This window comes from Homo sapiens, chromosome X, assembly GCF_000001405.40.
Source record: "Homo sapiens chromosome X, GRCh38.p14 Primary Assembly".
Lineage (NCBI taxonomy): Eukaryota > Metazoa > Chordata > Mammalia > Primates > Hominidae > Homo > Homo sapiens.
The window spans coordinates 24,142,669-24,159,084 of record NC_000023.11 but is presented as its reverse complement, the minus strand read 5'-3'; the positions used below and the strand labels follow the sequence as shown (position 1 = coordinate 24,159,084).

At 42.9% G+C, this 16,416-nt stretch overlaps 1 protein-coding gene and 1 long non-coding RNA gene across 46 annotated transcripts in view, besides 8 other annotated features; one reads left to right on the top strand and one right to left on the bottom strand.

Annotated features, from left to right (window-relative positions):
* The window catches only part of ZFX (zinc finger protein X-linked), a 67,274-nt gene extending 57,171 nt beyond the window's left edge, over positions 1-10,103 (bottom strand). For 7 of the 45 annotated variants that reach the window (XM_017029791.3, XM_047442458.1, NM_001178095.2 and 4 more), the window contains exon 1: positions 9,291-9,356. The gene's annotated coding sequence lies outside the window, so the exon portion shown is untranslated. Of the gene's footprint in view, positions 1-6,254; positions 7,683-7,824; positions 8,676-8,917; positions 9,357-9,831 lie in introns of those variants that run through there. The other 38 variants (XM_047442438.1, NM_001178085.1, XM_006724513.4 and 35 more) reach the window with 16 other exon arrangements.
* Positions 5,425-5,514: an enhancer, noted in NCBI's record as "active region_29500". NCBI's record gives its function as "activates an Ori minimal core promoter by ATAC-STARR-seq in GM12878 lymphoblastoid cells {active_cell/tissue: GM12878}" and the evidence as "EXISTENCE:reporter gene assay evidence [ECO:0000049][PMID:35858748]".
* Positions 8,350-8,859: a silencer, noted in NCBI's record as "silent region_20717". NCBI's record gives its function as "represses an Ori minimal core promoter by ATAC-STARR-seq in GM12878 lymphoblastoid cells {active_cell/tissue: GM12878}" and the evidence as "EXISTENCE:reporter gene assay evidence [ECO:0000049][PMID:35858748]".
* Positions 8,900-9,713: an enhancer, noted in NCBI's record as "NANOG-H3K27ac-H3K4me1 hESC enhancer chrX:24167489-24168302 (GRCh37/hg19 assembly coordinates)". NCBI's record gives its function as "activates a minimal SCP1, AML or CMV promoter by ChIP-STARR-seq in naive H9 embryonic stem cells {active_cell/tissue: H9 hESC(naive)}" and the evidence as "EXISTENCE:reporter gene assay evidence [ECO:0000049][PMID:30033119]".
* Positions 8,900-9,809: a biological region, named in NCBI's record as "NANOG-H3K27ac-H3K4me1 hESC enhancer GRCh37_chrX:24167489-24168302".
* Positions 8,910-8,959: a silencer, noted in NCBI's record as "silent region_20716". NCBI's record gives its function as "represses an Ori minimal core promoter by ATAC-STARR-seq in GM12878 lymphoblastoid cells {active_cell/tissue: GM12878}" and the evidence as "EXISTENCE:reporter gene assay evidence [ECO:0000049][PMID:35858748]".
* Positions 8,980-9,389: a silencer, noted in NCBI's record as "silent region_20715". NCBI's record gives its function as "represses an Ori minimal core promoter by ATAC-STARR-seq in GM12878 lymphoblastoid cells {active_cell/tissue: GM12878}" and the evidence as "EXISTENCE:reporter gene assay evidence [ECO:0000049][PMID:35858748]".
* Positions 9,431-12,860, top strand: ZFX-AS1 (ZFX antisense RNA 1). The gene is made up of 3 exons (NR_046657.1): positions 9,431-9,530; positions 10,243-10,332; positions 12,634-12,860. It is a non-coding gene; the product is annotated as a ZFX antisense RNA 1 (long non-coding RNA).
* Positions 9,450-9,809: a silencer, noted in NCBI's record as "silent region_20714". NCBI's record gives its function as "represses an Ori minimal core promoter by ATAC-STARR-seq in GM12878 lymphoblastoid cells {active_cell/tissue: GM12878}" and the evidence as "EXISTENCE:reporter gene assay evidence [ECO:0000049][PMID:35858748]".
* Positions 9,920-10,019: an enhancer, noted in NCBI's record as "active region_29499". NCBI's record gives its function as "activates an Ori minimal core promoter by ATAC-STARR-seq in GM12878 lymphoblastoid cells {active_cell/tissue: GM12878}" and the evidence as "EXISTENCE:reporter gene assay evidence [ECO:0000049][PMID:35858748]".

The following is a 16,416-nucleotide window of genomic DNA, read 5'->3' as shown; positions in this document are numbered from 1 at the left end:
CAGAAGGTCAAGACTGCAGTGAGCCATGCACTCCCACCTGGGCGACAGAGCAAGACCCCATCTCAAAATGAAAAATAAAAAAAACTAAAAATAAAATAGAAGATTAATGGACTTCATCACGCCAATAGATGTAGCAAAAGCATTAGCAAAATTAAACTCCTGCTCACAGTAGAAACTCTAAAATGATAAGTAAAAGAGAACTGCAACTAAAAAATATCATCCAGCCTGGCCAGGATGGTGAAACCCTATCTCTACTAAAAATACAAAAAAAAAAAAAAAAATTAGCCGGGCATGGTGGCACATGCCTGTAGTCCCAGCTACCTGGGAGGCTGAGGCAGGAGAAGGGCTTGAACCCAGGAGGCGGAGGTTGCAGTGAGCCGAGATCGCACCATTGCACTCCAGCCTGGGCGACAGAGCAAGACCCCGGCTCAAAATAAATAAATAAATAAAAATATCATCAGCACCCCCTCTCAAAAAAGCCCACTACAATATCATATTTAATGATAAAACATTAGAAGCACTCCATTAAAGTAACTAGAGAAGGATGCCCATTATCAATGCTTCTACTGAACACTTCAATAGAGGAATTAGTCAATGCAGTAAAACCAGAACAAGAAACAGGAGGCAAGAAGGAATGGAAAAGAAGAAATAAAACTGTATTATTCACAGACATGAAAACTATATACAAAAGAATTATGAACTGTGTTTTTTTGTTTTTGGTTTGTTTTGTTTGTTTGTTTGTTTGAGACAAAGTCCACCCGTCTCGGCCTCCCAAAGTGCTGGGGTTACAGGCGTGAACCACCACACCCGGCATGAACTGTTATTACTACTACATTTCACTGACTCTGAAGATACCAATTGTAAGCTGTACCCTTATTTTACATGACTAAGAAAAAAACATTGCCAATTAAACTGATACAGTATTTTCTTATTATCTAGGATTTTCATTCTAGATTTATCAAGACAATTCAGACTTATTTAGACAGACTTTTATCATATCTTGTGTATACAGAAGCAAAAGAAATTGGCCGGGCACAGTGGCTCATGCCTGTAATCCTAGCACTTTGGGAGGCCGAGGCGGGCAGATTGCCTGGGTTCAGGAGTTCGAGAACAGCCTGGGAAACACAGTGAAAACCTGTCTCGACTAAAATACAAAAAATTAGCTGGGCGTGGCAGCGTGCACCTGTAGTCCCAGCTACTCGGGACGCTGAGGCAGGAGAATTGCTTGAACCCGGGAGGCGGAGGTTGCAGTGAGCTGAGATCGTGCCACTGCACTCCAGCCTGGGCGACAGAAAAAAAAGAAGCAAAATAAATTGGTAAGGTATTCCTACAACTTCACATTCAAGGTCCTACTATGGATTGCTCTTCCACTCAAAACTGTTCAACTGTTGCTAACAATATTGTGCTCTGCCAATAAGAGTGTTGGTGATGCAGCACTTCTTAAAATGATCCATTATTATTTATGGGATTTTCTTTCAAGGCAGACACCCACTTTGCAATTTCTTCCGCCTCCAGTTTTATTGTTTGGCATGAAATAACAATACAGCAATGCACATACTCATTTAAAGTGATGACAAAATGAAGAGCCCTGACCAAGTTTGTGCATGTGCAAGCAATGATAACTACATCATGACTGCTGCCTAGACAACAGTGATTATGGGACACCATCAAAGATCTATTTTGACTTCAGATATGTGAAGATGTAGGGGGGAAAAGTGTACCTCAGAATCTATGAAATATGATGAGAGTTCAGCAAGGTTACGTGATCAATACATATAAGTCAACAGTGATCCTTATACATCAGCAATAATAGCAACTATAACTAAAAGAAAATCCTATTCACAATGACAACAAAAATTACACAGTATCTAACAAAAATATCTAACAAAAGTTGTGCAAGAGCTTTATGAAAAGTAGTAGCACATACCCAGAATTCAAATCCCAGCTCTATTAGCATTTATCTACATGAATCTATGTATTTATTCTATAAATTTGAGGCAAATATAAAAATCCAACAGTTTTCACAGAAAATGACAAACTAACCCCAAAATAAGCAAAGGGAGGAAAACAGCTAAAATAATCCTGAAGGAAAAGAAGATATACTCAGTTTTAATTATAAAGCTATTATTAAGGCCGGGCACAGTGGCTCACGCCTGTAATCCCAGCACTTTGAGAGGCCGAGGTGGGCAGATCATGAGGTCAGGAGATCGAGACCATCCTGGCTAACACGGTGAAACCCCGTCTCTACTAAAAATACAAAAAATTAGCCGGGCGTGGTTGCGGGCGCCTGTAGTCCCAGCTACTCGGGAGGCTGAGGCAGGAGAATGGCGTGAGCCCAGGAGGTGAAGCTTGCAGTGAGCTGAGATCGCACCACTGCACTCCAGCCTGGGCGACAGAGCAAAACTCCGTCTCCAAAAAAAAAAAGGCTATTATTAAATCAGGATAGTATAGATATAGAGATAGGCAAACAGACCAATGAAACCAAAAGAGAGAAACTAAAAACAGATACATATGTGGGAATATGATATATCTCAGGAGTTGCATTATAAATCAGTGGGGAGAAACGCTGAACCATTTGATAAATCCACATGAAAAAGATATTAGATTCCTACGTCACACAATATACAAAAAACTCCGGTGAATTAACGACCTAAATATGAAACAGCACAGTATCATTACAACCTTGGGGTAAGGGAAGAATGTATTGAAGACATAAGAAAACACAAGCCATAAATGAAAAAAACTGAGAACTGGCTACCATCATATTATGAAGTCCTACATAAAAAACTTTCCACAAACAGAGCTAAAAGCCAAGCCACAGACCAGGAAAAGATATTTTCAGTGTATATAATCACAAATTAGTATCCAGAATATAAAACCCATAAACCAGCCAGCCACAGTGGCTCACACCTGTAATCCCAGCACTTTCAGAGGCCAAGGAGGGCCGATCACTTGAGGTCAGGAGTTCGAGACAAGCCTGGCCAACATGGTGAAACCCCGTCTCTACTTAAAGCACAAAAATTAACCGGGCATGGTGGCAGGCGTCTGTTATCCCAGCTACTCAGGAGGCTGAGGCAGGACAATTGCTTGAACCTGGGAGGCAGAGGCTACAGTGAGCCCAGACCACGTGCCACTGCACTCCAGCCTGGGCAACAGAGCAAGACTCCATCTCAAATAAATAAATAAATAAATAAAACCCATATACCAATAAGGAGGAGGCAACAATCCAACAGAAAAATGAACCAAAGGTATGCACAAGCAATTAATAGAAAACTCTGATGGCCGATAAATACATGGGGAAAAAAGGTCAACCTCACTAGTAATCTTAGAAATGCAAAATGAAAATAGCAAGGAGATGCCATTTATACCCAACAGATTGGGAAAAAATTGCAAAATCTAATCCTTTGGCAGTGATTTGGAGAAACGGGATCAAACACAGCGGGAGTGTCAAATAGAAGACAATTTGCCATTTTGGCAATTCCCAGTAAAGTTGATAATGCACAGACTTCTTAAATGAAGCAATTCTACTTCTACTATATGTATATAATCCCAAGAAAGACAAACCATGTATAAGGATGTTCATAGCAGTAGTGTTTGAAATTCAGAAACTGCAAACAGTTTCTATCGGTCCCTCCAAGAAGAAAAGATAAATAAACCACAGTATATTTATTTATACACTGAAATACAAATAAAATGAATGGAATCAGTAGTTTTCAAACTTCGTGGTCTCAGGACTCCTTTGCACTCTTAAAAATTAAGGATCACAATAAAATTTAAAAAACAAAACAAAAAACAAAAATTAAGAACCACAAAGAGTTTTTACGTGGGTCGTATCTATAGATGTTTATCATACTAGAAATTAAAACTGAGATATTTAAAAGCACTTATTAACCCATAAAAATACTTTTTTTCTTTATTCCTTTTTTCCCTTTTGTTGAGATTTTTTTAAAACTCTTATTTTAGGTTCGGGAGTACATGTGCAGGTTTGTCACATGGGTAAACTTCTGTCACGGGGGTTTATTGTACAGATTATTTCATCACCCAGGTATTTAAGCCCAGTACCCAATAGTTATCTCTTCTGATCCTCTCTCTCCTCCCTCCCTTCACCCTCTAGTAGACCCCCAGTGTCTCGTTTCCTTCTTTGTGTTCATCAGTTAGCTCCCACCTGTATGTGAGAATATTCGGTATTTGGTTTTCTGTTCCTGCGTTAGTTTGCTAAGGATAATAGCCTCCAGCTCCATCCATGTTTCCGCAAAAGACACGACCTCGTTCTTTTTTATGGCTGCATATTTATTTTAAAATAACTATTTTTCTAAACAAAAAAAAATAGTAAAACAAGTGGCACTGTTTTACATTTTTGCAAATCTCTTTCATGTCTGGCTTAATAGAAACCGGCTGGATTCCCGTAAGTGTTTCTGCATTCTATCTATTATGACATCATATGTCATGCAGCCTCTGTACAGTATTCCTATAGTGTACAGGAAAATGTGGGTGAAAAGAGCAAATAAAAAGTATTATGAAAATAGTTTTGACCTCATGGACCCCCTGAAAGAATCTTAGGGATCCCCAGGAATCCCTGCAGCACACTTTGAAAACTGCTGGACTAAACACATTACATGGATAAATCTCAAAAACACACTGTTAAGTAAAAATAATATATAAGGTATGGTTATGATACTGTTTATGTAAAGTTAAACACACAAGCAATACCTGATATTGTTTTGGTACATACATATTGGGACAGGTGGTTACTTCTGGAGAAAAGAAGACAGGAAGGGGATGGGGAGGGACCCTTTGAATCTGTGAGATTTTATTTCTTTAAACAACAAAAAGATATGAATCAAATATGTAGCAAAATATTAAGATCTCTTAAATCTGGGTGATTCTGATTTTCAGTAATTTAAAAATATTCCATAAAACTTTTTAAATATATTTTTTAAATGCCTAATGGCTGTGTACCTCAAGGCCACACAATTTCCTTAGAGTATACTTCCTTTGAGTAAAATACAATTACAAGATACCTGGGTTTTATAAAATGTTGTCTGGAAAAATAACTTGGCAGGAATAAGAATAGGCTGGCCATATTCCAATCAGATAAGGGGTGGTGGGAGGGGTTACTCCTTGACCTGGTGCCCTAATAAGTGTGCCTTAATATGTATGTCCCTGAGTCAAAAAACACACTGACTGGATACCTGATTTTTGAACAGCTGAAAACTATTAACTACGTAGAATTCTCTGTACCCAGTAACCGAAATTATTGCTTTGAGAGATAATGGTCCATATGCCAGGTACTGCTTGGAGACAAAGATAAATCAGAACTTGTCTCTATATTCACAGTGTAGAAGGAAAAAATATAAACACACAGTTCAAATATAATACATTAAATGATAAATTAAGGGGAATCCCACCATAGAAGACAGAGAAGGCACAGAGAGTTTCTGAAACACAGAGCACTTTTATATAACACACCTGTTAACATGCTGTGCAAGTTTCCCAATTTGGGTAATACTGGATTTAAGAATAAGTGGGGTGCAAAGAAAGTGAAGACAGGTGAGGCTTTTGTAAGATGAGCAAACCTAGGAATATTTGTAAAGAGAGGTTAATGATGCAAGAGACGGCATCACGCACAGAGCTTGGTCCCTAAGGAGGCAGCCAGGGTGAAGAGCAGGCTCAGAGCAGCAGTGGGGCTTGTGAGACAGCAATCCCTCCTGCAACCTCCCCTGCGGCAAAAGGAGGAAGGCCTAGGTGAAGACAGGAAAGGCATGAAGGGGAAGGGAGGGGAGACTTGGCTCTTTATCAGATGGCCATCTACCCTTCTCAGTGAAGTGAAAGACTGGGTAATCTTTGCTGAAGATGAGAGATTTCAAGGACCCGTTGAGTAGTTTTAAGAGTGAAAAAAAGTTTGGAATTGCCAGTGTACACAAGAACAAATAATACAAAGAAGATTATCAGTGACAGAATCAGTCTAAATGGGTTAAGTGAGAGTAAGCATTTGCAATGAGAGTAAGCATTTACAAAAAGCAATGTGGAAAAAAAAATTTGTAACACATTCGTGAGCATGTTTTTTTAAAAAAAGAAATCTGCATCTATCTGAAAAATACACAGAAATTAAAAACTAACACCTTATTCATCCAGGGTGGTTGGGTTCGAAGGTGTTCCACCAGTCAGTTTTCCAAAGTTTCAAGGTCTACCCTTTCAGGCAAAAATAATTTTATATTTAACCATTTCTAATTGAAACTAAACTACACACTTACCTGTCTTAATCACACAACTTGACTCTAATCTTAATCTTGAACATCCACTGTTGCTGTACTGCGCAGCAAAACAATTCTATCTTCTTAATAGTTCTTCTATGTCTTTCCCAGCTGTCAAAATATAAAAGCACCTGGTTCTTCTAAGTTTATGTTTACCCTTAACACCTCAACAACCACAGCCCGCCTTCTCAACTTGCTTCTAGTCAGCCTCATGCAATGCACTGTTTCTCGAACTTTTCTAAACCATAGCCCTTTATAATAAACATGAGACTCTCATTCCCTCCAGCCCTTTCATGGAGCACCGCTGCTCACGACCTGTTACAGTCTAGAAAAATGGAAAAACTGAAAATGGGTATCTATGCCACCTAAAGGTTTCCATCATAAAATTCTAGGAAACAGGCAGGGCACGGTGGTTCATGCCTGTAATCCCAGCACTTTGGGAGGTCAAGGCAGGCAGATCACTTGAGGTCAGGAGTTCGAGACCAGCCTGGCCAACATGAAACCCTGTCTCTACTAAAAATACAAAAATTAACCAGGCATGGTGGCAGGGTCCTGTAGTCCCAGCTACTCGGGAGGCTGAGGCAGGAGAATTACTTGAACCCGGGAGGCAGAGGTTGCAATGAGCCAAGATCACACCACTGCACTCCAGCCTGGGCGACAGAGTGAGATTCAGTCTCAAAAAAAAAAAAAAATTACCACGGGAATACTCATTTCTCATTTTCGTCAAATAACCCACAGCACTAGTCCTGTACTTTTCAACCATGGTAAATGAAATGTTAGAAACCCCTCCCTATTTGTGTACCATAGAAATTCTGACAACTCTGAGCAAAAGATTATTTCGGATGAGAAATCAGGATAGAAAAAAGGAGCAGCTGTCTTAATAGAGACGCATCGTTCCAAAAGTAGCAAAATTTGCTTAACTTCTGAACATTCTTGTAATCGTTCTGATAATGAAAACACTGATCAACTTACTACTCTCATTATTTTTCAACTTTGAAACTTTTCCTAGTCCAATGGAACTACTAAGTACCGTAAAGCACAGCTCAGGGAACAGACGGCAGTGACAGGCGGGCAGTGGGAGGCGGGAGAACGGCTTGAGCCCAGGAGTTCGAGACCAGCCTGGGGCAATATAGCAAGAACCTGTCTCAAAATAAAAAATAAGTAAATAACAAGGTGCAGCTCAGGTGTGCCATCACTCTTCTAGTTGAGGGCACCCCCGCTGCCTACCCCATTGAGTATAAGCCCCTCCACCTGGCAAGCAAGCCCTTCTGCAATCTAACTTTTCTAGCCTGAATTCCCACCACTCCCCTACCTATACCATCCACTTTTGCCAAACTGTAAATACTTACTGTTTACTGAAGAAGCTTCACCCTTGAAACGTCCTTTCTCCACCTCCACCTCTACCTAACAAAGTCCTACCCATCCCTCGGTAACCTTCTCAAAATGCCACCTATTAATACTTCAGGAACCCGTCCCTCCCTGATCCTCCAATGGCAACCTTGCTTCCCTCGGAAATCCCAGTAATTAGTTGTACCTCTCACTTTACTGCATTTCACCTTGCCCCACCTACCTCTAAACATGAGACTTCTTGCAGCCACCGTCTGCATTACAAGAACCTTTTTAATGTTTCTTAGCATCTAGCACGGTGCATCGCTAACAGTAGGCTCCGAGTTTATCAAGAAAGTTGCACAGTGTGCAATCAAAAAAGTACGTTAGGGGATGAAACTCCGCCTTAAAACTTCACAAATGAAAAATCGAAATACCATGACAGGCAAATGCACAATAAATATGCACCACACTAAGTTGTCCTCCAATAAGAAAATAAAAAAGTCTGCCCTTATTCCTCGATTTAAAAAAATACCACCAACAGATCACTACTTAAATCGTTTTTCAAGAAAGTTGTTTCCACATAAATGAGTACGAATGATTCAAAATTTTATTCCTCCGCTCTCGTGTTGTGCAATTTTTTTCCCTATAGGACAAAAGAATGGCAAAAACTTTCCCATCAATCTTTATTTTTCTTCCTTTATTCAGATACTCGGGGCGGCAAAGATTGTTGGAAAAACAACTGCATCGAAAGCACCTTAGCAGCCACATATGATTTGACTTAAGCAAAAATAACATTTCCTGGGGTCCCGTATGCCCTGGTAAGCCCAGGTGTCCGGAATGCCACCTGCCCCGACTGCCCTCGGGTGGCTACAGGCGCGGGGGAAGGCGCAGGGCCAGGGGCGCTGAGGGTGAAACGGTCCCGGCGTCCGGGCGGCGGCGGTGGCCGCCTGCGGCAGCTCAGCTGAAACGCAGCGGAAACTGCAGCCAGTCACGGGGCTGCGGGAGGCAAGGCAGGAAGGTGGCGCTGCCGCCGAGCGCCTGGAGCCCGAGCGCTCATCATGGCGGCAAGGGCAATGGCCGCCACGGGGAGCGAGCACGCCCCTCCGCGCGCACACGCCGCCGCGCCGGGCCTCCGGGGCCCGTCACCGGCGCCGCTGCCGCCGCCGCCCGCTCTCCCACCCCCCCTCACGGGCTGTAGCGGAATTTTCTCTCCAGACACCGCCTCCAAGATGGCGGCTCCCCCTCCCGGCAACCCCCTCTATCGTCCCCTGCAGCAGGCGCCGAGCCGCCGCCATCTTGTCCCCCGTCCCTCCCCCCCCCTCACCGATATTTACATAGCGAAAATCGGCCCGGCCGGCCTGCGGCCTTCACCTCACGCCTGCAGCCTTCGCCTCCTCGCCAGGCCTCACCCCGGCGCGGTGCCCCAGGTCGGCCGCGGAGCCGACCCGGGGCCCCTCGACCGCCTCCGGCACAACCGGGCGACCCTCCCCCAACCCCCGCCCGCTTACGGAGCGCGCCTCCGCCGCCGCTCGGGGCAGCCGGGCTCCTCCCCGGGCCTAACTGCGGCCTCCTCGGGGCCTGCTCGGCGCCGCGCGCCACGCCGCCCGGCCTAGCGCGGGAGGGCGCCTTGCGGGCCGCCGACCAGGCCGAGACCAGGCCGCTGTGCGCGCACTAGGCCCCGCGGCCGCGGCGGCACCCGGGACTCACCGGACGGACGTGCGGGCGGCCGGCGACGGTGGCGGGTGCTGCAGGCCGGCCTTTCTCTGGAGCACTGGGCCGGGCTCCGGCTGGTGGGGCGGGCGGAGGGAGGGAGGAGGGGCCGAGCTCGGAGCTGACAAAAAGCGGCCCAGCTCCCCGGCACGGGCCCGCCGTCAGCACGTCACGTCACCGCCCGGGAGAGAGACCCAGGAAAATGCGGAAGGGTAGACAGGCCCCCTCCTCCGCCCGGTGGGTCCTCCTGGCACCCCGTGTCGGCGCCGCTCCCGCCCCGCGACCGGGGAGCCCAGTGGCCTCGCTGCGGCGGGGTCTCCGGCGGCCGGAGTCTCCGTGACAGCGCCCCCCTTCTTTCCACCTCCTCCGCGCTCCCGCCCGCCGCCGCCACACACGCGCCGCTGCCGCCGCCGCCTCGGCCGTAAAGCCCGCGCGGGGCCGCGGTCGGCCGACCCCGCGGAGAGGCAGGCGGCCCGGCCGCCCCCCACCATGTCCCGTGGGCCGCGGCCGCCCCCCGGGGGCCTCCCTGGAGACCTACCGCCTCTCGCGCCGGTCCTGGCCGAGGCTCCAGCTCGAGTTGTTTGCAGGCCCTCAGACCCCCGCCCGCAGTAAATGTGTTTTCTTCATCCCCGTGGCTGGGGAGGAAGATAAATTTAGCAACCCCCGCCGTCCCCTGCCTTCGCTTAAAAAAAAAAAATCTTTGAAATAAAATGAAAACGGGCTTGCCAGTCTAAATGGGTGTGCGGGAAGGGGGGTGGAGTGGGGGGAGAAGGGTTATCCCTAGAGCACCTACCAGGCCGTCTACTTTTTAAAAATAAGCAGTCAGAGCCAAACTGATTTTATTAGTTTGTACGGGGGAGGGAGATGAGCAAAGTTGCATTTTGAAACGTTTCGCACGTTGCAAAGAACAGGAATTTTCTGTGTATTTTCCTATGTACCCGTGTTTCAGAGCTTGGGAGCCTGTGAAATGTAAGACTGGTGTCATCGTTTCATAAATCATGAATTTTCCACATTCCTTAATAGAGAGGAGCCCAATTGGGTATGGATTTTTTTTTTTTTAAACACACTGCTTAAACAAGCCTTTTGAAGTTTCAAAAGACTTGGGAGAGAAGGGGAAAATGATTAAACAGCACTTACCAACTTCAAAAATGTGTATTTCGCACTTTACTTAGTTTAAATGTTTATGCTATCTTTCCATGCTGAACTTGGAACCCAAACTCTGTTTTAAAGTTACTAGGGAAAAGTTAAATAGTGGAGTCTTTACATTAATCTGGAATCTGGCATGCTATCCTTTAACACAGCACTAAATGTTAAAGGCATTTTTAAACAATAAGAAACACAAAAATTATAAAGCAAATAGTATACTGGTGTGAAATCTCTTTAAATACAGAGGCCACGTATTTTAGTTGCCTGACATAACTCTTTAAAACTCCCAGAATGCAATTTGTCCCTTCCCTCAGACATCTCTCAATCACAAATGCTTTCAAAAAGGAAAAACAAAAGTAGAGTAAGAAGAAATCTCTGAGCATGCACTGGATGATAATTTTCCTCTCGGGGCTTTAGTCTGAATTTTTCCAAGCGATTAAATTTCCTTTCAAAAATAGTAACAGCATGTATTCATTGTTTATAAAAATTACATCAGGCTGTGATAGACTTTCACAGAAAGACATTTCACAGAAAGGTAAATGAAACTAAGCAATGTTGTTTCAATAAAAAAAAATGAGAAATAGCTTGTGTGCCCACATTAATATTTCTTGCACTCCCAGACTGGAGTGCAATGGCGTGATCTTGGCTCACTGAACCTCTGCCTTCGGGGTTCAAGCGATTCTCCTGCCTCAGCCTCCCGAGTAGCTGGGATTACAGGCACTTGCCACCACGCCTGGCTAATTTTTCTATTTTTTTAGTAGAGATGGGGTTTCACCATGTTGGCCAGGCTGGTCTCCAACTCCTGACCTCAGGTAATCCACCCGCCTCGGCCTCCCAAAGTGCTGGGATTACAGGCGTGAGCCACCGTGCCCGGCCGCCCACATTAATATTTCAAAACATTGATAATCAGCGTTTAAGTACTTTCCAAGGGCCTCAGTGTGATGCTACGGTATGGCAAGAATGGAGGCCAGGTTCCCTGGTTCAGTCCTGTAATCACAGCACTTTGGGAGGCCGAGGCGAGAGGATCACTTGAGCCCAGGAGTTCAAGACTAGCCTGGGTAACATGGTGAGACCTCGTCTCTATTAAAAAAAAAAAAAAAGAAGAAGAATAGAGCCTCACTTCATCCATGCAACTGTAAGCAGCATGTTCAAGACAGAAAAACCTAATGTCACCATTCTTGTTAGTTTTTCCATAATTACCATCAAAAATACTTATACATCCACCAGTGTAAAGCACTTAAGAAAACAGTGTCCAAGGAGCATGAAAGAAAAAGAAGTTTTCTCAGTTTAAAAGATCACAAGTAGTTTAGGGATTGATACTTTCAAAGAGCCCTTTGTCATTACTTTTCATACAGGAAGAGACTGTTAACTTTGGTGGGAAACAAAGAAAGGATGGCCTAGTTCTATTAGATTAGATAAACCTTTATTAAAGTCCAGCAAACTTTATAAAGTCCAGTTATTTTATAGATGACTATACAGATAAGGTCAACTATATTTTTTTTAGTTAAAAAAAGGTAAAGTTGTACTTTAAGCCCATTTATGGAAGTCTGTAAAGAACATTGTTTAACTGGTAAAAGAACAATGGTAAAAATCATTTCACTAGAAGTACACTTAGTATTATACTCATGATAAAGTGAAGATGAAAAGGAAGTGTAAACAGCAGAGATCAGAAATTGTTTGATGTGACAAAATACAAAATGCATTTTATGAAAGTACTCACAATAGGACCTTGAGGACACCTAAGATCCTTGAAAGCATTTGGTAATTAAGCACCAGACATCTTGCACTTAAAGGACCTACTGCAGCCTATCTTGCCTTGATAATTGTTTTCGTATTAGGGACCTTTAGAATTCTGGGCACAGGAAGTAACAAAGATGTGCTTGCCCTTGGGGAACTCGAATAAGGAGGCTGTGTAAGGCAAAATAAAAACATTCCTAAGTACTTTCATTTTCTCACTTAAGTAAACATAATAAAAGGAAATTTTATCTAGGGAGGTCGAGAGCAGAACATTTCAAAAGAGAATGCTATGAATACAAAATAGCTGGTTTCAAAGCAGTAAAAGGAATTTTGATTACGTGCTAAAATGTATTTGTTCCTTCAGAGCTGTTAATGTACATCAGATAGTTAAAAGCATTTACTCAAGGTTTTGACAGTGTTTTAATAAATTAACTAAAAATCTCTGACATGTTTATAGGTCCTTGAGCCAGAAACGATAGAAGGCCTTTCAATCATTTTTCCAGAGAAAGATTAGTCAGAAAAGAAGCTGTTGATTTTCACTCCACATCGGAGACTGATGGGAATTCAAATAAGAAGCAATAAATTATTGGCTTATGAGAAAATGTAGACCTTCTTGAATAAAGTTGTGGTAATTCTTTTTTTTTTTTTGTATCCCAAACATTAAAAAATATTTATCTTCCCCTAGAAAGGCCCTAGTTTTATTGAACTAAGCATGCCCTACAAAAATTAACCATTTATCTGACACCTGATACTTAGGTTATACTTAGCGTGAGCAAGTTGCATCTTCTGTTGGAATTCAGTTGGCCATAATTAATGCCAAGTAAGAATTTTTCATCTGAGCCCTTAAGCCACACACTCTCCCCAAGGAGAATAATTTTAAAATAAACAATGACTGGCAAATAGGTGATTTTCAAGCAGTGCTTTTTACATGAGTCATTAGTCGAACAAGACATTGTTTAATTCCTGAAAATAATAGCCAAATTCTTCATGGATTATAAATCACAGGGCACAGCAAACAAACTAGCTCCACTAAAGAGATAAAAAAATCAATATAGAGGCCTAGAAACAATGAGCAGTAGCAGTGAGCACCCCTGGTGTCCAAGTTGGGGCCTCTACAGTTTCCCACCAAAGGAAAGGGAGAAGTGATTGATTCCAGGGCTGGAGCAGGAAAGTATAAGATAAGCCAGGAACATCTCCTTATAGCAGAAAGCAAAAGAAGAAAGTGTCCAAGCTTACTAGGTTGTCTAACATTAAGAAAATTTGGATGTCAAAAAAAATTGCTATGGAGTGAAACATAGTGGATATGTTAATGAATTTATGAGACTTTAAAAATGATCAACTAGTGGTGATGGTTGCACAACTTTGTAAATGTACTAGAAATTAGTGACGTATGTATGCTTTAAAAGGGTGAATTTGATAGTATAAGAGTCATATTTCAATTTTTTAAGTGATCACTTTTGGAGAATGCTAGGGAACCAACTCAATATTTTGAAAACTAGTGAAGGAAAAGAGATGAAGCCTGTAAGATCTACTCCTCAGAGTAACCAAATAGTTGACGAAGGGACCTTCCTTTTAATAGAAGTATTCCAACTAATACATGAAGAAGTCCTGATGAAATTAGAATATCACCATTTTGGATTTTGTCGACTGCAAAATATCACCATTTTGCAACATCTAATGAATTAATGGACCTTGGCAATGATCATCAGTGGCTGCTAAGCAGAGAGAAAACCAGAAACATGCCTCAAGATGGAAGGACAAAATGCTACTAGACAAAAAAAAAAAAAAAAAAAAATCGAACCTGAGTTTGATCAACCTTCTAGCTCTAACTACCAGTTTACAGGAAATACAGGAAACAGAGAAACATATCAATGAAACCACAGGGATGCGGTCGACAAAATCCAGTTGATGAGAAACTCTAAAGGACAAATGAAAGATAAGAATAAACAAATAAATTATAAGAAAACAAATTATAAGAAAAATTCAACATTTAACAAATACATTTCTTCAACAAACAACTTATTAGAAAAAAATAGGAGGGGAATCAATAGATTAGAAAAGACTTAAAAGACATGTTCATCAATGGCAGTGTATGAACTTCATTTCATTTTTTTTTCTTGTGGCAGGGTCTCTCTCTGTTGCCCAGGCTGGAGTGTAGTAGTGCAATCACGGCACACTGCAGCCTCGACCTCCCAGGCTCAAGTGATCCTTCCACCTCAGCCTCTTGAGTAGCTGGGACTGCAGGTGCACACCAGCACACCCAGGTAATTTTCGTATTTTTCGTAGAGACAGGGTTTTGCCATGTTGCCCAGGCTGGTCTTGAACTGGACTCAAGTGATCCACCTGCGTCGGCCTCCCAAAGTGGGGGGATTACAGGCACAAGCCACGGCACCTGGCTCATTTCAATCTTGATTCAAACAAACTGTAGGTAAGGTGCGGTGGCGCATGCTGTAATCCTAGCACTTTGGGAGGCCAGTGAGCTCAGGAGTTCAAGACTAGCCTGGACAACATGATGGAACCCCACCTCTACAAGTACAAAAAAATTAGCCAGGCACGGTGGGGCTCCTGTAGTCCCAGCTACTCAAGAAGCAGAGGTTGGGAGGATCGCTTGAGCCCGGGAGGTTGAGGCTGCAGTGAGCTGAGATCATGCCGCTGCACTCCAGCCTGGGAGACAGAATGAGACCCTGTCTCAAAAAATAAATAAATAAATAAATAAATAAATAAATAAATAAATAAAAACAAAAAACTAAAAATATGAGACAATTGGAGAAATATGAACACTGGATTTTGTCAATACTGACTGGATACATGCTCATATAAACAAATTATTGTAATGTTAATTCATTTAGATATAATGATGGTGTGATTATGTCTAAAAACTAGTCCTTATCGGCCAGGCACAGCGGCTCACACCTGTTATCCTAGCACTTTGGGAGGCCGAGGTGGGGCGGATCACGAGGTCAGGAGTTTGAGACCAGCCTGGCCAACATGGTGAAACCCCATCTCTACTAAAAATACAAAAAATTAGCCAGGCGTGGTGGTGAGTGCCTGTAACCCCAGCTACTCAGGAGGCTGAGGCAGGAGGGTCACTTGAGCCCAGGAGGCAGAGGTTGCAGTGAACTGAGATTGTACCACTGTACTCCAGCCTGGGTGACAGAGTGAGACTCCATCTCAAAAAAAAAAGATCTGCCGTTACCAACGCGGGTGAACATCGTCCAATCCATTGAGGGCCTAAATAGAACAAAAATTCAGAGGAAAGGTGAATTCTCTTCTTGAGCTGCCCTGGGACATTGGAGCTCCTGGTTTTCAGGCCTTTGGACTCAGATCAAATTACACCACCAGTTTGCCTTGTTCTCCAGCTTGCATAAGGCAGACTGTAAGACTGCTTGGCCTCCATAATCACATAAGACAATTCTCATAATAAATCTCCTCTTATATATCTATGTATATATCTTATTGACTCTGTTTCTCTCTGGAGAACCCTGACTGATACAGTAGGTATGGGATAGGGCCAGTTTAACCAGGAGTCTTGGTGATACACAGACAAGTCATCCACACACCAATAACACTTTAAGAAATATTAGTACATCCTTGTAAATGCCTCTTGCCCACATGTATAAGAGTTTTTCTTGGAGTATAAACAAGTAAAATTTCAGAATATGGCACATTTTCAATATTACTCTCCAAAATGACTATCCTAATAAACATTCCCTCCAGCAGAATATGAGAATTCCCAATTCCCTACTCCTTCGTAACTCTTGATGTGCTCATACTTTTTCACAATCTAATAAGTGAGAAATGGTAAAATTGTTTTAATTGACATTTCCTTGATAACAAGTAAGTTCAAGGTATCTTTCACTCTTTATTAGCTATAGTTTTCCTCATCTGAAAATTGCCTTGGAATAACCTTTGTCTGTTTTTCTATTGTTCTTATTCATTTGTAGAAATACTTTCTACATTCTGAATATACTTCTTTGCTAATTATGTATGTTACAAATATCATTTCCTTGTCTGCTGCTTGTCTTTTAACTAATTTTGTCTAAGGTAGTTTTTCTAGTTGCACATCTTAAAGTCAATTAAAATCCTGGGGAACTTTTTTTTTAAATGAGATAGGGTCTCACTATGTTGCCCAGGCTGGTCTCGAACTCCTGGCCTCAAAAGAGACCCCCCCCCCCCTCCCCCGCCGCCTTGGCCTCCCAAAGTGCTGGGATTACAGGCATGAGCCACAACACCCAGCCAA